The sequence below is a fragment of the Homo sapiens genome, chromosome 3, assembly GCF_000001405.40.
Source record: "Homo sapiens chromosome 3, GRCh38.p14 Primary Assembly".
Classification (NCBI taxonomy): Eukaryota; Metazoa; Chordata; class Mammalia; order Primates; family Hominidae; genus Homo; species Homo sapiens.
The window spans coordinates 159,860,006-159,880,424 of record NC_000003.12 but is presented as its reverse complement, the minus strand read 5'-3'; the positions used below and the strand labels follow the sequence as shown (position 1 = coordinate 159,880,424).

Here is a 20,419-nt window from a genome sequence, read left to right as displayed (position 1 = left end):
GACCTCAAGAAACACTTAGTAGAATCTCCCTGTCTTATATATGGAAAATACTTTTGCTACCTGGACATTAATAAGGTGTTAACCAGAAGAGTGAAAGAGCAGAAAACTGCAAAAGGAAGGAGGTCTTGGTGAACTGAGGTTGGGCGGAATAAATACAGGAGAGAGATAGAAAAGCTGACCCTCCAGTAGTTATGTGCCCAGAGAAGTTATGGGTAGTTTCCAACTATATGCCAAAGAGAGGACTGGGGAGGACATTATGTCTCTTTATATCCTGTCCTGATCCCCACCTTACAGGACTCAGGTGTTCGGCTTCCTCAGCAGAAGCTGATGAAGGCAGCTCCAAAGGTAGTTGGAGTGTGAATGACCCTCTCTGGGTTTTCTCCTCCTAATCTTATGCATACTTTCTTTTTTCTGCTTGCTCTTCTAAGACTAGTTCTGGACCCTTCCATCTGTACATGTTCACATGATGGCTGGTAAGCACACCGGCCATTCTGTGGCACCACATAGCCACAGAATCTCCTCACTGACTTAGGCAACTAATAGAAAAGGGAAACTATCACTCACCAGCTTTTCTTTGGAGAAACATCGCCCCTGTATCCTAACCCGAATCTCCAGAGAGCTATAAATACTTGCATTCCTCAGACGGCTGTTGGTTCTAATTCTACATCAGTGTCCATTTCCTTCACTAATGACCACTTTCATGTAATTAAATTTGGAATTATAGGATCTTAATGTTGGGAAAATGCATTTTCAACTGAAATGTTCTCTAGCATGAATGAAAGACCAGAACGAGGCCTCTTCTGATACGAGGAATAAAACAGCCATCTCTCGTAGGCAGCAAATGTTATCTACTTCCATGTTAAATAAGGCCAAGTAATTTCCAAGTAATCTGTATTCTGAAATTAAAAGTTACTGTTTTTGAGCATCTACTAAGTGCCAGGCATTTTACTATTTTATGTCTAACCCTCAGATACACATGAAGCAGGCACTGTGAACCCTGTTTCACATATGAGAAAACGGCTCAGAGAGGTTAAATTACACAATATCACAACACTGATACTTTAGGAAAGTCCGTCTTGAGATGTCAGAGCACTTTAAAAAGGAGGAAACAAATTCATTAATGGTAGAAAAAAAGAGAAGAAAGAAAAAAAAAAGAAAGAAAGCAAAACAAAAACAAAACCAAAACAAAAAGCTGGCAACAACTTAAATGCCTAATAATAAAAGATTGATAAAGTATATTATGGTGAAATATATGATGGGCTATTCTGCAGCTAGTAGAAATACTAATCTTATGAATAAGATTAGTCCAATATTATTACATTAGATGAATCTTATGAGTAAGCTTAGTCCAATATTATTAGATTGGATGAAAGTTTCCGACTGTTAAGTAAAAGAAAGAAGGCTAAAAACAGTACCTATGCTATAATTCCAATTTTATAAACAAAAATATGGAGATATATGCATAGAAAAAAAGTCAGGAAATACATCTTTTTTTTTTTTGGTGAAAGAGTTTCAGTTGGCTTTGGATTTTCCTCTTTTGAGCACCTCTGAGGTGCTACATATGGGCATTTGGCAGGAATTTATTTATTTTTATTTATTTTTTATTTTTTATTTTTTTATTTTTTTATTTTATTTTATTTTTTTTTTGAGACGGAGTCTCGCTCTGTCGCCCAGGCTGGAGTGCAGTGGCGGGATCTCGGCTCACTGCAAGCTCCGCCTCCCGGGTTCATGCCATTCTCCTGCCTCAGCCTCCCAAGTAGCTGGGACTACAGGCGCCCGCCACTACGCCCGGCTAATTTTTTGTATTTTTAGTAGAGACGGGGTTTCACCGTTTTAGCCGGGATGGTCTCGATCTCCTGACCTCGTGATTCGCCCGCCTCGGCCTCCCAAAGTGCTGGGATTACAGGCGTGAGCCACCGCGCCCGGCCTATTTTTATTTTTTTGAGACAGAGTCTCACTCTGTTGCCCAGGCTGGAGTGCAGGGGTGCAATCTTGGCTCACTGCAACCTCCGCCTCCTGGGTTCAAGCGATACTCCTGCCTCAGCCTCCCGAGTAGCTTGGACTACAAGCACCCGCCACCATACCCAGCCAGCTATCTTTTGCATTTTTAGTAGAGACAGGGTTTCACCATGTTGGCCAGGCTGGTCCCGAACTACTGACCTCATGTGATCCACCTGCCTTGGCCTCCCAAAGTGCTGGGATTACAGGCATGAGTCACTGCGCCCGGCCTTGGCAAGAATTTAAAAAAGAAAAGGAAAGAACATGACCGAGTTGATGATTAGCATTTGTGTGTTGGAGAAAAGGTGAGCAGATCAGTGTTTGATGGCTGGAAGAGGATGGCTGTGTGTCTGACTCAGCCATGTCTATGCAGGGACTTTTGTTTTTGGCAGGGTGCTGGAGGTGGTGGGAGATCCGTGGGCAGCAAGAAACATATTTTCTTATAAGAGAACATTTCTGTGGATGGACTCTGATTCAACTGTTGACATCCCTCCTCAATCCAGTCTTGATTTCATTCTCCTCCTTGGATCTGCAGTAAATTACAGACTCTAACGTAATTGATATAAATTTAACTGTTTGTATTTTTAAAGCCAGGCTGCCTATTTATTCTGCTCAGCTCAGACAGAGTTTAAACACCTATCTACCCCACCTGCTGATGAGTTTCAGCTGTTGAGGCAATGAAGGTTAGAGAAGAAATACTTTTCCCCTTCCAGACCTTTGAAAATGTTCATGCGGACTGGGTAAAAAACATGACAGCGGAGAGTCAGTGCCTGTGTGTGTTTCTGAGGCATATTCCTGAAGTAGGCGAAAATCTTAATTGCAAATTCTTTTATTCTTTTGACCATTAAAGCACTGCTTTACCACTTTTTATGTTCATGTTTAGAAACATTTTGGGGCCACCATTTAGGCTTGGTTCCATGGTAAGCTTCATCTCAAAAACACTGGCTTTCATGATTTAGTTTGTGACTGTTTGAATTCTACGCAGTCGTGAAAAAGAATGCAGTGGATCAATAAGATTGCATTGATTCTATGAAGCATGGTTATTTACATTTTGCAGTCTTTATTTTTTATTCTTTGAAACAGAGTTTCGCTCTTGTCACCCAGGCTGGAGTGCAATGGGGTGATCTCGGCTCACTGCAACCTCTGCCTCCAGGGTTAAAGCGATTCTCCTGCCTCAGCCTCCTGAGTAGCTGGGATTATAGGCGCCCGCCACCACTCCTGGCTAATTTTTGTATTTTTAGTAGAGATGGGGGTTTCATCATGTTGGCTGTGCTGATCTTGAACTCCTGACCTCAGGTGATCCACCTGCCTTGGCCTCCTAAAGTGCTGGGATTACAGGCGTGAGCCACTGCTCCCAGCCTAAAATAGGGATGTATCTCAGCTGCTGTACCTCAGGTAGGTGGTGGCATGATTGCAGTACTTAACTCTATCAGCCCACAAACCAGGTAATAATCCCCAAGGAGGAGGTGGGCACTGGTTGTCCACTCATGCCTTCTGACAAGAACAACAAAGCTCCAGCATCAAACCTTGCAGATGGGGGGACGATGGCTTGGAAGGTGATGCACTCCATCTCCCGATGGCCCAAAAGCTGAGACATGGCAGCTCTCAGGTAAAGTGGTTAAGTGGAGAGCTGGAAAGTTTAGGACTACATTTGCCAACATGTTTCACCTTTTCTTCCTCTTTTTGTGCACAAGAAACATATGATAAAAGCGTATGTCCAAACAAGTCTAAAATTACTCTTTCAATAACTAAAATAAAAACTCTAAGTGTTAAGAAGGCATGTGTCACCGTTTAAATGGCAGTAGTTTTTCTTTTTTAGTGGTACATAAAATAACTATTTGTCTTACAATCAATGGTGTCTAAGAGTAAATAAAAAGGATAACGAAATACTGTAGCAGCACCTACTAATGCAGCACTGACTCTCGTCCAGGCACTCTTCTGAGTGCTTTGCTGGTCTTCCTCACAGTAACCCCATGAAGTAGGCACAATTATTACCCTATTTTACAGATGAGGAAACTGAGCCACAAGTGAAGCCATTAGTAAGTGCTAGTAAGCGGCAGAGTCAAGATTCCAAGCCAGACCCTCTGGTTCCCAATACCCCGCTCCTACCCACCACGCTACACTGCCTGCCTAGTGAACAGACCCGAAACATGTTGATAAGTGAAAAAGCATGGTGATTAACAGAGCATGTGGATACACCACCTCATGATCGATGGTGGAAGAACAAATACAAATCCTGGAACAGTGATTGTCTCTGGTGACAGAAGCAGGGAGACTGGAAGAATGGGGGACAAATATGGCAGGATCTGAGCTTTTTATAGTGTTTTCAATGACACTGATTTTCTAATGCCATACATAAATATTCTGTCTACTTAGAAAACACTTCACAAATTATAGCCATTGGATCTTGTTTTCCTCTTTGTAATCTGTTGATTGCACTAATGGTTTCTGTTCTCATCAGAAATCTCTTTCATGGTTTGTTTTGTTTTGTTTTGTTCTAGAGACAGGTTCTCGCTGTGTTGCCTAAGCTATCCTCAAGCTCCTGGGCTCAAGGGATCCTCCCATCTCAGCCTCCTGAGTAGCTGTGACTACAGGCACATGCCACTGTGCCTGGCTTTCCATGGGTTTTTAATGCGTGCAATAATCTGAATGAGAACAATCCAAGCAGGACAGAAAATTTTACAACAGGATTGAGTAAAAGGATGGTGTTAAACCTTAGATAACATGGCTCACCTGCAGTCAGTTAGAATGTTTTCTAGCAGCAATGAATGCTTTTGTGCACTCTCAATGGAGCACTGTCACGTGAACTGTGTGTGTCTAGACACATGTATAGGACCACTGTCCAAAGAGAATGCAAACTACAGTAATAAAGTCATCATAGCTTGTCAAAGATGATGCACCAATGAAAAATAATTCCTAGAAACTCTTTTAATTAAACATTCAGCTGTCTACTAGAGCCATTTTTAAATATAAAATGCAGCCCTGTGGTCTTTTTCTTCCTGCCTCCCCCTCTTTTGCAATAGCTCAGGCAATTGAATTCTCATTGGTGATAAAAAAAAATTCATAAGACAGGGTACAGCTGGTTATGCCTCTAGCAAGATGTCAAATTCAGCTTGCATAAAATTAATTGCACCTAATTAAACCAGGGTCATTGGTGTTATTGTAAAGTGAGACTATTTATTAGACAAAGAAAATTTCACAAATACCAATTTGCTTTTCTTTCAGGTTTGTGAAGGAGAAGAATTGCTTACATAATTAGATTTGTTTTGCCATTTTAATCTTATTACTCCTCAAAAGATCTACTTCAAATCTTGCTTCACTTTTGAAATTGTGTAATATTTTTGAATACTGGAAGCAATCCTTAGAGGAGGGGCATAAAAAATGATAGTTTTTGTTTTTTTTTTTTTTAGACTACCCAGTGGCCTTTCAAATAGTGAAAAAAAAGAAGTCATCATTAGCTACCATTTGCAATGACACACACCTTGGAAATACTTATATGAAGGGTTTTTAAAGCAAATCTTTAGTATATATGTATGAGACTAATATGAAATGTTAAAGATATGTTGCATGTTATAAATAGGTTGCTACAGTATGCATCTATTATTTCAAGAAAGATGCCACAGACAGGCAATTTCACTGAGTTGGAACTAGACAACCTCTTTCCTCATTAACGCTGGGCAGATATAACCGTTGTGCTTACTTCTTCCAGAAAATCATACAACAATTATTACTGTTAGAGACAAAAGGATGATTGACTTTCTTGGCAAAATGATGCTGGTTCGACCTGTGATTCGTGGCACATTGTATATACAGATTCTCAGTTCCTCACTTTTAAAGTCCCTGTGAATCCTATTTCTTTGAAGTCTCTCTGGATTCACTGTTATTGGTCCAGTTGATAACAGCTCCCAGTTAGGGTGCCCCCCACTCCTTGCCCTCCAGCCCAAACACAAAAGGAGATGGCAGGTGTCCATTATTGGCCTTGTCTCAGCCATTTACCAATAAACCTATAAGGCCAAGAAAGAAATGAGTTTTGATTGGGTGATGTTGGAATGGTTGAGTTAAGTAAACAGTAATCATTATTCAAAGCAGCTGCTCAAAAGTTCTCTGGGGAATTTCTGTTTTTCATAATATTCAGCCTTTGGAGAAAATGGTATAGCCTATTTCAGGTCACATCATCCCATTGCACACTTTATGAAAAAGACTGTGTTTATATGTATATGTATGTAAATAAGTTCTCTCTTGGGGTAAGGTAAGAAGAGAGGTGAGAATCAAATTTATTTCGTGGTTACTCTGAGAAAAGGTAAAAGGAGAAGGCAGAGAAAACTTCCTTCACAATGTTAGGTCAGGTTGTAATGTTTAAAAAATAAAAGATTTCCCAGATATCTATTAATAAAGACTATCTTGTGTTCCCACAGCAGCTAAGCCTGTTTCTATTCCTTTAATTACACTAAGCTATACAAGCTCATCATCTGAAACATAATGCTAACTGATAATTAGTTTGGCCAATGAAAACATATTTTATAGGAAAGTATCATACTAGTAATAATAGAAAAAATGTTTCTTCAAGAATATGACTAACCCTAATATTTCTTAGAAACCTTATTTCAAAAATAGATAATTCATTTTTCTCATTTCATTTTAAGCTTTAAAAAACTTTTTACGGAAACACTTTTAAATAGAAAAAATGACAAAGGTTATACAGTTTCAGTTTGTAAAGGGCTGATAATGTGTGGATTAGCAAATTTTGAAGAAAAAAATGACACTCTACTTGCCACATTTCAGTATAAGTCAAATTTAATTAGTTGAGTTATGAAGCAACATCAAATATTATTTTGCTGCACTATTAGGCATGAAATGTCTTTATGGGATTATTGTAAGCCTAGCTTTCATTTAACAACTTGTCACTCTTAAGAAGTGCTTTAGGAGATAGCAACATCTAGAAAAATCCAGTGGGGCTAAAACCCAACAGACAACTGAGAGGAACTCACGCTCACAGGAACAGTTGAAACTCCAGTCTTCCCAGACCCTCATGTTACTTGATAATTTCTCACATACTGTGCATGGAGTTAGTTTCTACAGGCAAATATACAGCCTTTAAAGAAACATAAACAGAACTCCATTAGTTTGCCAAAGATCCCACTCACCTCAGTAGGCCCTGCCTTAAAAAGTAAGCTTAGCATTTAGGAATCCACTGCTTGGTCAATTAATTTTAAATCTCCAGCCTCATTTAAAATTGGGCATTGAGCTCTTCAGAGTAGTAAATTCATATCAGGTTTACCTGGTTTTAATCTTATTACTCCTCAAAAGATCCACTTAAAATCTATTTCACGTTGAAATTGTGTAATATTTTAGAATACTAGAGGTAATCCTTGGAGGAGGGCATAAAAAATGATAGCTTTTCTGTAAGTTACCTAATGGTTTTTCAAATACTATTATGTGCTCTGGTACATTTTGGAGTACCATACTGGTGAACTCAATGTTCTGACATCCCTCAAGTACTTTTGTAAGTAAGAGGTAAGGTATTTCCAGTTCAATGAAGAATTTCAGGGATAGTGATGCAGCAGAAACAAATTCTAACAGGGATAGGGAGTATGGGTTACACAATTGCAACTGAACATTCTAAAGGCTTTTCTCCTACATTATTACTGATGAGGAGGATGACAGTCAGTCTTTGCAAACTTTAAATTTATAGGGATAAAGTGATATTTCTTAGAAATATGTAGTCTCATTATTAACCATCATTCTGAGAGAGATCCCAAACAGTCATCGTGTTCTCAGAAGATGATCTCATCCCAGAATGTGGAGATGAAAGTATCAGAAAGAACAGGATATAAATAATCTTCCTTATGGTGAGTCAACAAGTGTAGCTTGTTATGAGCTACTGTGAAATACATTTGTGTTTAGATATCCGTGTCTCCACAGGGGGCAGATGACTCAGTGATTTTCAAATTCTGCTTTGCCAGAAGAGTTTCAGGTAGGCTTCAGGGGCTTGTAGGGGAAGGATGGAGAGAGGTACCAAAGGGCAGGCATGGAAAGGGGCAATTAGGATGGGGGACACATTTTCTGGGCAGAGGTATTCCAGTCTCTCTCCTTCAGTCCTCCTGAACCAAAGGAGGACTGCCAAGCTGGGTTTCCACACAGGGTTTTAATCAACATATTTGTGCTATTAAAAACAGTGAAAACCTTCTAGTTAACCATGGCATATTAAGCACAAGTATCTACTCTCACTTCTGAAATCTTACTAAAATAATATTAAAGAAAAAAAGAAGGTACAAATCTATATGCACAAAGAAAAAGGAAATGGAAACAACAGCACACAAGGGATTTTGATGAAATTTTAGAAGATAATATGCAGATGGGTGGGGAGTATTTGACTTAACTACCTCAATCTACCATGTGCCCACAGGGGAGGCTGGTAGAGGAAGCACATGCATTTCTACTGCAGGATCCTCGAAATGCTCAGATACAGCTGAAAGTAGGGGAGTGAAGTAGGACCGAACACAAAGATTGATTTAACACCTGAAAGGACCCTCTTGCCCTGCTATCTGCCCTGACCACCTGTGGCCTGGCAGAATCAGGAAATTTATTGTCTTAAGAGGTTGAGACTGGAGCATGCTCAGGCACAGCTGAGGTGGCAAAGAGATGCTTTACTGAAATCAAGGAAATTAAGTAAAATTTTATATGCTACAGTTCCTATCTTTCCCCTGCTAGAGTCTTAAAACATTGGCAGCCAGGTTTAAAATGCCTCAAGATGAGGTTGGAGGGTTTCTCTCAGTCGCAATTCATAGCCCAAGAGAAAAGACTCCTAGATACTTTCAATTAGATGCATCCCAATGAAAGAGCTGTGTCCTTATTCAGCCATTCTATAGTGAAGTTCACCATTCATTTATTCAACAAATATTTAGTGATTATGTATTAGATACTATTTTAGGCAATAGTTACAGTGGTGAACAAAATAGAGACGAAGTCTTGCTCTCTTAGAGCTTATATTTTAGAGCTAGAGAAAGACAGAACAAAGTATATATACTACAACGTTAGGTTATAATAAGCCCCCCCCCACCCCCCCCAACAAACAAATCAGGGTAAGAAGATAAGCAGGGTAAGACCGGACAAAGTGATGGGTACGAGAACGTTTACTTTTAATAGGGTGGTCAGGGAAGGGCTCTCTAAGCAGATGATGCATGCCAACTAGCCCCAACCACAGTTTATAAACAGCTTTTAGTGTCTTATACTTAGTTATTGGTGGGCAGAAAGCAAAACAAATGAAAAATAAACTCAGAAAAAGTCATGATGGACAGGAAAACATTTTAAACAACTTAATTAAAATTAATACTTTCAGAGAAATGAGAAAACATCATGCCAACAATTTTGAAAACAAACAAAATGGACATATTCCTAGAAAAATATAACTCATCAGACTGATCTGAGGAAATAAAAAGTATGTATAATATTATAACCACTTAAGAAATGGAAGCTGTCGTTAAAGCAAATACACAAAGTAAACACCAGGCCCAGAGAGAAATGAGTCCTACCAAGCTTTATAGAAACAGATCATAAAAATATTATGTAAACTTTTCTTAGACAATATGAAAGAGAATACTTCCCAATCCATTTTTAAGCCAGCATAACCCTGATACTAAAACCAAGCAAAAATGTCAGAAGAAAAGAATACAATAGATTCATGTCAATCATGAATATAAACCTAACAATCCTAAACAAAATGTTACAAATAAAATATGAATTTTATTTATAATTATTTACTCAGATTTTATTTATAATATTAGTATCTGAAAAAATATAATACTCCAACAGTATCTGAAAAAATATAATACTCCCTAACCACTTTAGGTTTAGACTGGGTATGCTAGCATGGTTTAATATTTTGAAAATCTATAAATGTAATTCATTAATTCATATAATAGATTAACAGAGTGAAATTGTACTTTTTCTTCAACTCAACAGATGAAGAAAAAGCATGTGATACAGTTAAATACCCATTCATGATAAAAATTCTTTGTAAGTTATACCTGGGAGGGAACATCATCTCATAAAGAGAATCATTAAAGGAAACATAAAATTAACATCATCTGAAATGGGAAAACAGTAGAAACATTTCATTTAATATGAGAAATTAGCTAAGGATTCCAACTACTACTATTTCTAATCCTCACTGTATTAGGGTACCTAGCCAATCCAATAAGACAAAGAAACCAAAAGCATGAGAATTGAAAATGAATAAATAAAGCTGCCATTATTTGTAGATGATATCATTCTTTAAAAATCCCAGGGAATCTACAGACAACTTTATTAGAAATAATAGGAGAGTAGAGAAGTAATAGGAGTAATAACAAAGTGGCTGAATATAATACTAGTATACAAAGTTAATTGCATTTCTGTTCACCAGCAGCAAATGAGAAAGCATTACTGAAGAGAATTTATCAGAATAGCAAGTATCTAGAAATAAATATAACAAGAGATGTGTAATATGTCTAAACCTTATTAAGAAAGAAATAAATATAACAAGAGATGTGTAATATGTCTAAACCTTATTAAGAAATACCTAATAAGATCTAAATAAGGGGGAGACAGACCATATTCATGGATAGAAAGACAATGAGAAAATGTAATGCTTCCTAAATTGGTCTATAGAATCAATGCAATTACAGTCAAAATTCCAAGAGAGTATTTTGTTGAACTTGATTATATTATTTAAAGTTTATGTGGAGGAATAAAAAAAGCCGTAACAGGCAGCATACTTCTGAAGAAAAAGAATAACAAAAAGGACTTTCCTGTCCAGATATCAGGACTTATTTTGAAGCTATTGTAATTAACACTATAGTTTTGCTGCTGAGATAGAAACAATAATAAAATAGAATATATTTCCATTAACATACAGTATATATGGGAGTAGTCTATAAGATCAGTGAGTAAAAGAGGGATTGTCCAATAAATATGATAAAAAAATGGTCATATATAAGGAAAACGATCAAATTTGACTTCTCCATACCATATCAAGAAATCAACTTTTGACTGATTGCAGACTTTTAAAAACTCAACACTTTCGACTCTTGGTAGGAAATCTAATGAATGTCTATTGGATCTTGGGGGAGAAGAAAATTTCTTACACAAGATACAGAAAGCCATTGACTAGAAAAGTTTGATAAAATTCAGTATAAAATCAACCTATAAAATTCAGAACTTCTGGTCATAAAACACATATTAAAAAAGTGAAAAATAAGTTACAACCTGGGAAATGATATATGCAATACATACAGTGTATTAAGGATTAGTATCATGACTGAAGAACTTCGATAAGTTGATGAGAAAAGCATAAAGAATCCAACAGCAATTTGGCATAGGACCCAAACAGATATTTCACAGAAGAGAAAACAAATACGGCTAATATACACAATAAAAATCATTTTATACCTATTCAATCTTCACAAAAACTTAAAAGAATTGGCAATATCAAATGTTAGTAACGTTATGGATCCACAGGATCTCTGAAACATTGCTGGTAGGAGTATAATCTGTTGCAACCATGTTGGAAAACAGTTTGACATTATATTCTAAGTGTAAACAATCATGTATTTTCCTAGTAATTCTACTCCTAGGTATGCCCCAAAGAGAAACTCTTGCATATGTATAGCAGAAGACATATACAAGAATGTTTATACGTAGCATTGTTTACAAGAGCAAAACCTTTGAAATAATCCAATGCCCATTATCAGGAGAGAGGCCAAATAAATTGTGGTATATTCACACACTGGAATACAAATGCAGAACATGGGGAGAAAGGAGGCAATTCTAATTTCAGGACAAAAAATAAAATTTCTCAAGTAACCATAGTTTACTACGTGGTTCAGTGGGAATAATGCATAATTTACACTTGATCTTAGCTAAAAGGCTGAGAAGCGATGAATAATGCATAATCTTAATAATGTAAACATTAAATAGCTATTTGACTCTAAATTGTGAAATTACTCTAAAGGAAGAATAGAAGAGATGACAGTCTTTGGGAGGGCTGTAAAAAAAGAGCTAAATCACTATCTTTTTATAGCAGGTAGTCTGATGGTTAAAATAAAAACTAAGAAGATAAGCATTTTATTTAGAGATATGTAGGTAAATACCAGAAGAAACAGTTAAGGAGTAAAAAGTTATTTCTTCTGGAGAGTGGCACAAGGATAATATAAATATATCTGGAGTATACATATACACACACACACACAAAGACACATATATATATGTATACATCCATATATACCTATGTACATATACATATATATGGGTTATATATAGGTATGTTACATATAGATTAATATTAGCTAATATATACGTATGTTATATATAACCCATATATATGTATATGTACATAGGTATATGTGTGTGTATATATATAAAAATCATTGATTTATATATATATAAATCATTGATTTATATATATATATATAAATCACTGATTTTCAAAATCAAAACCTCTCATTTGTAACATGGATATGACATTGCTGAACAGAGAGATTGGGCTTCTAAAAGAAGACATTTTGGCACTCTGGGAAATATTAGAGAGCAGTAGCAGAGATCTATAAGATGATATGGTCCAATGCTCTCATTTCACAAAAATGAAGAAAATGAGACATGGTAAAACTAAGTAAATTGTTAAAGTTTCAAAATTAGAAGTGTACTAGGACTAATCCTCAGATCTCCAGGTTCCTAGGCCAAAGCGCCTTCTGCCACATCTGACTGGGAGGGGAAAGAGGTGCTCCTAAGGGAAAGAGGAGGGCTGACCATCCAGTTCTGGAGGGATGTGTAGGAACACAAGGGAATGTTCTGAGACAGAGCTGGCACCCAGCAGAGGAAGAGATGCTGGAACACTGTCTGGTGAAACTGGCACTCTTGTCTTGATGTACTGATCTGCCTGCAGTGCCTCACAAATAGGTGTATATGTGAGCATGTGTCTGCTTTCTGCTTTCCGATTTTTGCTGATTTAGAATCTCTCAGGATAAGATAGTAGTACAAACCTTACTGAAAGCCATATGGAATACAGATAGATATTTTAAAAATGCCTAGTTCCAGGCCTCACATGCAGACATGGAAGAAATATGTTGGTTAAATGGATGCATAAATACTATAATTTGTTTCCAATGCCTAGCTTAAGATGGTAAAATAACTGAGTATTTTAACAGAGTATATTTGCTTTTAGCCAAAAGGAAGACTGAGAGGAAACAGACATTTGGGGAGTGAGGGGAGACCATGAGAATGCTGATCAGTTACTATCATCTTAGTAAAAACATTCTACATGCTTTCATCACTTGGAATACCCGTATTTGTAATGCCTAATTTTTCAGACTGTCTATACTTTCACTAATCAAAGTAGCCTATGGAATGGCAGCATGAATATCACAGCTGGGGCTTCATAGAAATGGAGGATCTTGAGCCCCACCTAGATCTACTGAATCAGAGTCTTCATTTTAACAAAATCCCCAGATGATTCATAAGCACATTAAAGTTCGAGAAACTCTGGCCTATAGCACTGTTTTTTGGATAAAATTATAATTTAAATATCTTACTTGGAATTAGAAGCTACGCAAATGACCAATAATATTCTGAAATAAATTATGATAAAGAGTAATGATATCCTGAAATAAATTAAGATAAAGAAAAACCACCAGAAGGACAGGTTAAGAACTGTAATAAACATTGAATGATCAAAGCGGGAATTGTATTTCTCAGTTACGAGTATTTATTGCAATCAAATGTGTCAGGGGGGTGATTCTGGGTGATCTGGGACTGCTTAATGGGAAATTTGGTAGTCTGCCACATGTCTCTAATCATAAGTCAGCTTGCTTAGGAGTGTGGCTTGATTCCTCTATCAGTGTACAGAATCAGTATTGTGGCTAGAAAAAAAATGGAATATAAAAATCTGACCTCAAGTAGCTGGGAAATGAGCCAATAATAACAACAACAACAACAAAGAAACCGACAAACAAGTGGGGAAGGGTCTGTCTAAAACCCAAATAAAGATGGCAGTATTATGCGAGGGGGAAAAAAAAACTACAGAAGATTTAAAGGCTTTTTTTTATTAGAATAGTCAAGTGACAGAATCCACTGTGTACATATCAGAAATTCAACTCAAAAGAACACTCACCGGGAGGAAAGGCTTGGCTTCCCACTTTTGCTACAGCTGGTATAAATTCCTGGGCCATCATCAAAGAAGCTTCCAAGTGCCAACTTCTGTCTGATAGACTCTCTCTCATTTTTCTGTGCCTAAAATTTCAAGAAAATAAAAAATGCTGATAAGTGGGCAGATATAGCACAACCACAGGCAGTCTAACTTGCTAAGTTTCTTAGAACTGTAACATTAGATGAAAAACAAATAAATAGGCTGCGGCATAAGAGTATTTGAATTATTAAAAGCTGAAATTTTACCAGTCTCTTCTGGCTTGAATTTCAGTTCTTCAGAGCTCATTCTAATCTCTAGTCTAAGTAATCACCATCGTGGTGCTAAATGATTTTCACGAGGATAGAACTAGATTATTTGTCACGTAATCTTTCTTCTTCTTACCTGCTAGGTATAGGTAAAGTTGTGGAGGGCAAGTACTTTCTCCTGAATCAAATCACTTTGATCCCAAATGTGCCCTTTCCCTGATCTTGTCTTCTCTCTGCTTTACACGTCCCTTTAGCCAGCCCATTTTCTCTATGGCAAGAAGAGTAATTCACTTCACCAACATGCAGCCTCTGGGAGCTGGCAGATGCCACAATAAGGCCAGAAGAGAACCCAGGACAAGACAGACATAGCACCTGCCTCCATGCAGCTTACAGTCTTGTTGGGGACTGTTGTTTCCATTCAAGAGCTAGCCTCATCTCACCAGGTTTTAGAATGTGAGAAACCTTGACAATAATGTCCGGAATAGCTGGAGAATTCTAGTTGGGCCCATCTGTTTCATATTTTGAAGGGAGGTCAGGTCAGTGTGCATAGAAAAAGGATTTGGTAAACTACACTACTGTGATCATTTGGATATGTTTACAATGCTTGGCTTCTCATTAAACGCCCCATAAAAACTCACCATGCTGAACTTTTAAACCCTTTAAACAACAGGGGAGAAGATTAAAAATGATTTCCTTGGTTAAAAATGAAACTACTACAAAAAACAAACAACATGAGTCAAAAATCCTGGGCTAAGGATGAAATTTTAGTTTTGTGAGATGACAAAGGCTTTGAGAAGTACCATTTTATACACTGAGCAAGGGGTTGAAGACCACACTGAGCAAACTATATTACAAAATGCAGGTCATGTGACTGGGTGTGGCTACTAAAGGCTTGGTGATGCCTTCATTCTCCCAGTAGGAGGTTCTGGAGCATCACTGTGTCACAATGACAAAAATGCATAGCCTGTGGGAAGGGCGCACTGAAAATAATTTCATTCCCAAGTGAAGGACAGTATACAATAGGTTAAGGCTTCTCTGTCTAATATGGTAGTTACTAGTGTCATGTGGTTATTTGCATTTCAACTTAAGAATTAATTAATTAATATTAAAAATTCAGCTCTTCGGGCACACTACCTCATTTCAAGAGCTCAACCATCACAGGTGGCTAGTGGATACTGTACTAGACAGCACAGAATAAAATACATGACAGCAAAGTACAGCTAAGACAGTGGTTCCCAAGATCCAGCTTCAACAGGCTGCATTAGAATGCCCCAGGCTCTAGTGCCAGATATTTAATTTCAACAGGTTTGAGAACTAGTTCAAAGAAACCTCATCTCTACTCTCCTTTTCTCTCACACTTTTTAATCCTTGGACACCATAAGCATTCTTTCTACTGTACACACTTAGTGATTATCTCTGTCTATATATATAGCACCCCCTTTTAGCATGTATCAATGAAACTGCATCATACTAGGAGCTAGCATATGTGTGTGTGTGTGTGTGTGTGTGTGTGTGTGTGTGTGTGTGTGTAGTACAGCCATAAGGTGAAAGACTACTTTTATACAGATTTTTTGTTTTTTTTACAGATGTGAAAGACTGCTTTCATAGTTCTTATTTTTTGCCGGGCTAGCACAAAACCAAGCTTTAAGAAAGTAACCATAAGGTTATGGAGGGAAGCAAGAATGCCTTTTATTTCACTAACCACTTGCAACTGTACTGCTTGGAACCTTAATTAGGGCAAACCACCTTTCCGAATATGCAAGGCTGGCACTTGGGATGGTCCAGCCAAAACAGAATCACATCACTTGACACCTTTATTTAAAACAAGTTCATTTCAAATCCCCATATCTGCCAGGCAGATTTTGTACAGTCAGTGAACCTTTTTCTCAATCCATATCACAGACAAAAGAGATTCTCACCAAAGTCCTCAACAGGCAGAAAACTGTTGAGTATAGCTGAATATCCAAATATAAAATCAGTAGATAGCAACATGAATTTTAATGATTAATGTTCAACAACATGCTGGCCTGACATTAGCCTAGGGTCTGAAACAGGCTTTAAAGAAAACTCTTATCCCAGGGTATGAATGTGTGAATATACCCTTGATTCCATGTCTATCTTTCTTGATAAACTAGAGCTACAGATATTGGAGGAGACCTTAAAAATATTTCCATTTACATTAATTGCAGTTCTTTACACCCAAATACTTCACTAACAGTTTAAAGAGGACTGTTTTATAATACACTCTCTTTCCCCCTCTCCTTCTCTCTCTGTCTCTGGATACCACTGAACAAATCAAGAAAAGCTTAAAGAATATAAACATCACTCATAATCCCACCACTTAGAGAGACATGATTGCTAACATTTTAGTATATTTCCTCCTAGTTTTTATCATATGTGTGCATTATTTTCCTTTTTATAAAGTTGAGATCATATTATTTATTAGATTTTCAGAATTGCCCTTGTATCCCTTCAAATTATTTAAAAACACAATTTTAAAATCTTTTAAAATTTTTTCCTCCAGAGCAGCCAGAAAGGAAAAAAAACACAATCTTTAATGGTTGCATATCATTCCATCCTATGGAGTTACCTTCTATGGTTAGCCATTTGAGTTGTGTCAAATTAAAAATAACATGGAAGTTAGCCTCTTTTTTTTTTTGGTGAGATGGAGTCTCGCTCTGTCACCAGGCTGGAGTGCAGTGGCACCATTTCGACTCACTGCAACATTCACCTCCTAGGTTCAAGCAATTCTCCTGCCTTAGCCTCCTGAGTAGCTGGGACTACAGGCTCGCGCCACTACGCTCAGCTAATTTTTGTATTTTTAGTAGAGACAGGGTTTCACCATGTTGGCCAGGATGGTCTCAATCTCTTGACCTCGTGATCCGCCTGCCTCAGCCTCCCAAAGTGCTGGGATTACAAGCGTGAGCCACCATGCCTGACCAGAAATTAGCCTCTTTACATAAATGCCTGCCCACATGTCTGATTATTTCCTCAGGATAAGTTCCTGGAAGTGGAATTAGCAGATCAGCTAAGTGTGAACATTTGTTGAGGCTCTTGACACATTTTGTCACATTGCTCTCGAAAAAAGCTGTTCCAATCCACATGCCCGCCAGCAATGTAAGAGGGTGCAGCTTTCACTACATCCTGGCTAACACTGAACATTTTCACTTAAAAAAAAAAGTTTTTTAAAAAATTTCATAGGCAAAAAGTAGTTTTTAAATTTCAATTTATTTGATTACTAGTGAGAGTAAATATTTAAATGTTTTTAGTGACTGTACTTTCTTTTCTCTGAATTACTTATTCCTAGCTTTGCTTATTTTCCTACAAAGGTCTGAGAATTTTAAACATTTTATAGTAGAGTATTTGTCCTTTTGAGTTTCAACTGTAAATGTTATGTAGTTAAGTCAATAGCTTGCTTCATCTGTCATGCTGTCAGTGGCTTTTGTGCTTGGAAAACTCTTCCCAGTCCAGAGGTAAAGGATCTCACTAGGTGCTGGAAGATTAAATGAGAAAACTTAAGTAAATTACTTAGCAGCTGTACCTGACCTGTGGTAATGTAAGTCTGTGATAGATGGTAGCATTATAGTTCATACTCCAACAATTTCTGCTTTGAATATGAGGAAACTGAGGGAGATGAAAGGTTACCATACTGTTAGGCAGGAGCAGTAGGATCCAAGTCCATGCTTCCTAATACCAGATCTTTCTGCTTTTTCTCATCACTTTTCCACATTAAAGAGTAAGGTGTTCAGACTAATAATAATGGTGGGTACCATGCAGAGGATAAAATGTGGCACAAAGACTTATGGGTCTACTTCTTCCCTGAGATGGATGTGATGTTTTCTCAGAAAAAGAGAAAACACTGGCAAAGCATACATACTATGGGCTAAATCATAACCACAAATATCCACAATACAAATATCTTCCCATCAGGACCACTCTCCTTACCATTACTACTCAATCTGAAAATTTAACAATGAGAACCCAATTTTCTTTCAGTTGCCCACATGTGTAAAATATATGTGTGTGTGGTTTCAAGGGCGGTTTGTTCTCTGAGGAATTATACCTGCAAGGCAAATATGTCTTCCACCAGCCCCCTTAATCCAGCCAAGCCCAATACGCTCCAGGGTGAGAAACAGACAAGGGTACAGGAAAAGGAAGAGGCTGACTCAAAACACCACTGTCTGGCTGCACTTATGACAGGCAGAACCATGTCCACTCCTAAAACAGCCTTGGGAAATACCCTCATAAAACAAAAGTACAACATCTAAAATTAGTATTGCTAGCAAAAACAAAGGGCAACTGAGGAACAGGGCTCATCACTATCAGGCAGAAAAGCTATTCAAGCCCCAGATGAAAGTAAAAATGTGATTAGAAACTCACCGCTATTCAGCCCCAGGAAGTTTTTGTCCTCATCTGTTGCTAAATTCCCTACTGCCACCCGCTGTGCCTGAGCAGATGAGGCTCACAATGACTTTCAATGATGCCATGCAAGCCACCATGATCTTAGAACAGACCACTGAGCACTTGCAGACTCTGAACACCAATGCTCAGCCTTTCCTGATGTGCCCTGTTCTACTGCAATTCCCCAATCTGGACAAGAACAAAGAGGGGCATTCAGTAATGAAATAAAGAGCAAAATGTTCAGCATGGGTAGGTATCATCTATCTTCAAATCTAATATGTCCCCAGGACCTTTCCACCCTTTTTTTCGGCATATGGCATGGCCCCATCCCTTACACACCAAGATCATTCCTGCATCCCCTCCCCAGGTTCTGCCTTCCTGCCTCTGGCCCAGCCCACCTTACTAGCAGCATTGTGGTGTCTCTGAAGCAAGAAGCCTTCAGCATGCTAATCTGCACGTAAATTTACAAGTGGAAGATTGGGTGTTTTCTGCATTTTCAAAATCTATTTAATTAACAAACTATATTTTTTGTGGGAAAATCTGGGGGGCCTCTAGGGTTCTCAGGAACACACTTCAGGAAATAACATCCTAAACCTGAACCTAAAGCCATCTGGTGCTTAGGACACAACAAACAGCTGCTTCCTTCTGAGTCCTGCACAGATGATGAAACCCACAGAGCCGGAAAGGGCCTGTCAGACCAAGAGGAAGGGGCTGCTCAAACTCCCCTGAGGATGAATGGATTTAAGGAAACCTGGCCTAGGGAATCAGGGGATCCAGTAGATGAGAAAGGCACAGAAGTGGGAATAAAAGCAGATGTAAGATTTGGAGCAGGGACAGTTGTAGGCCTGGACAAGATTCAGTTGTGGGAAGGAGTGGGAGAAAGAAAAGTGTTTCCCCCAGTTTCCTGTCTTTCTGTTCTTCCCTGGATTGAGCTTCCCCTCCTCCCAGATGCATTTGTTTCTCACTTTTCACTCTTTGCCATGGGAACTGAAATAGACTTTTAAAAATTATCGGATGTACTTGTTTTATAATGCTCACTGTCTCAGTACTAATTCACTAATGACCCCTACAGATACCACGTCTAGCATCCTCTTTTTCACACTGCTAAGTTGTTACCTGGTGCAATGCTTCTCAGGCTTCAGGGTACTTATGAGTCACCTCAAGATCTTGCTAAGATGCATGTTCTAAATCAAAGACAGGGCCGGAGACTCTGCATTTCTAATAAGCTCCAGGAGTTGCAAAAGGTTAGAGGTTTTGCAGGAGATCTTCTCTAAGGTTAAGAAGCCTCACAGGACTTGACTGCTCTTTCTCTGTCTTTTACACTGGTGTTACCTATAGGCCCCAGGAAATGCTTGTTAAAGCAATGAAGTAAATACTTGCCACCAATGCTAAAAAGGAAAACAATATGCCATTGACAAAAAACTTCCTAAGGATTATGGGCTGCATCATCCCAGAAGCTAATGAATACACTGGTCCCCCGTGGCCCAGAAAGGAACTCAGGATGCCAGGGGTTGCTGAGACACTGGTTGGCCAAGTGGAGACCAGGGAGGAGCATGCATGTGCACACACGCAGACAGACAGACAGACAGACACA

The 20,419-nt window shown here is 38.2% G+C and overlaps 2 protein-coding genes across 36 annotated transcripts in view, besides 1 other annotated feature; both read right to left on the bottom strand.

Moving 5' to 3' along the window:
* IQCJ-SCHIP1 (IQCJ-SCHIP1 readthrough) overlaps window positions 1-20,419 on the bottom strand; it is an 828,041-nt gene that overhangs the window by 16,935 nt on the left and 790,687 nt on the right. For all 4 annotated transcript variants that reach the window (NM_001197113.2, NM_001414413.1, NM_001197114.2 and 1 more), the window contains one exon: window positions 14,144-14,262. In NM_001197113.2, the coding sequence (NP_001184042.1) occupies window positions 14,144-14,262 (119 nt within the window). The remainder of the gene's footprint in view (window positions 1-14,143; window positions 14,263-20,419) is intronic.
* The window catches only part of SCHIP1 (schwannomin interacting protein 1), a 624,116-nt gene that overhangs the window by 16,935 nt on the left and 586,762 nt on the right, over window positions 1-20,419 (bottom strand). For 29 of the 32 annotated variants that reach the window (NR_182429.1, NM_014575.4, NM_001197107.2 and 26 more), the window contains one exon: window positions 14,144-14,262. The exons of 1 other annotated variant lie outside the window; for it this stretch is intronic. Coding sequence is in view for 30 of the 31 variants with exons in the window: in NM_014575.4 (NP_055390.1) it covers window positions 14,144-14,262 (119 nt within the window). In the remaining variant the exon portion in view is untranslated. Of the gene's footprint in view, window positions 1-14,139; window positions 14,263-20,419 lie in introns of all 32 variants that reach the window. 2 more of the 32 variants (NM_001414424.1, NM_001394295.1) reach the window with 2 other exon arrangements.
* Window positions 7,205-8,404: an enhancer, noted in NCBI's record as "P300/CBP strongly-dependent group 1 enhancer chr3:159589810-159591009 (GRCh37/hg19 assembly coordinates)". NCBI's record gives its function as "activates an origin of replication core promoter dependent on BRD2, BRD4, P300/CBP, MED14 and CDK7 cofactors, with strong dependence on P300/CBP, by STARR-seq in HCT116 cells {active_cell/tissue: HCT116}" and the evidence as "EXISTENCE:reporter gene assay evidence [ECO:0000049][PMID:35650434]".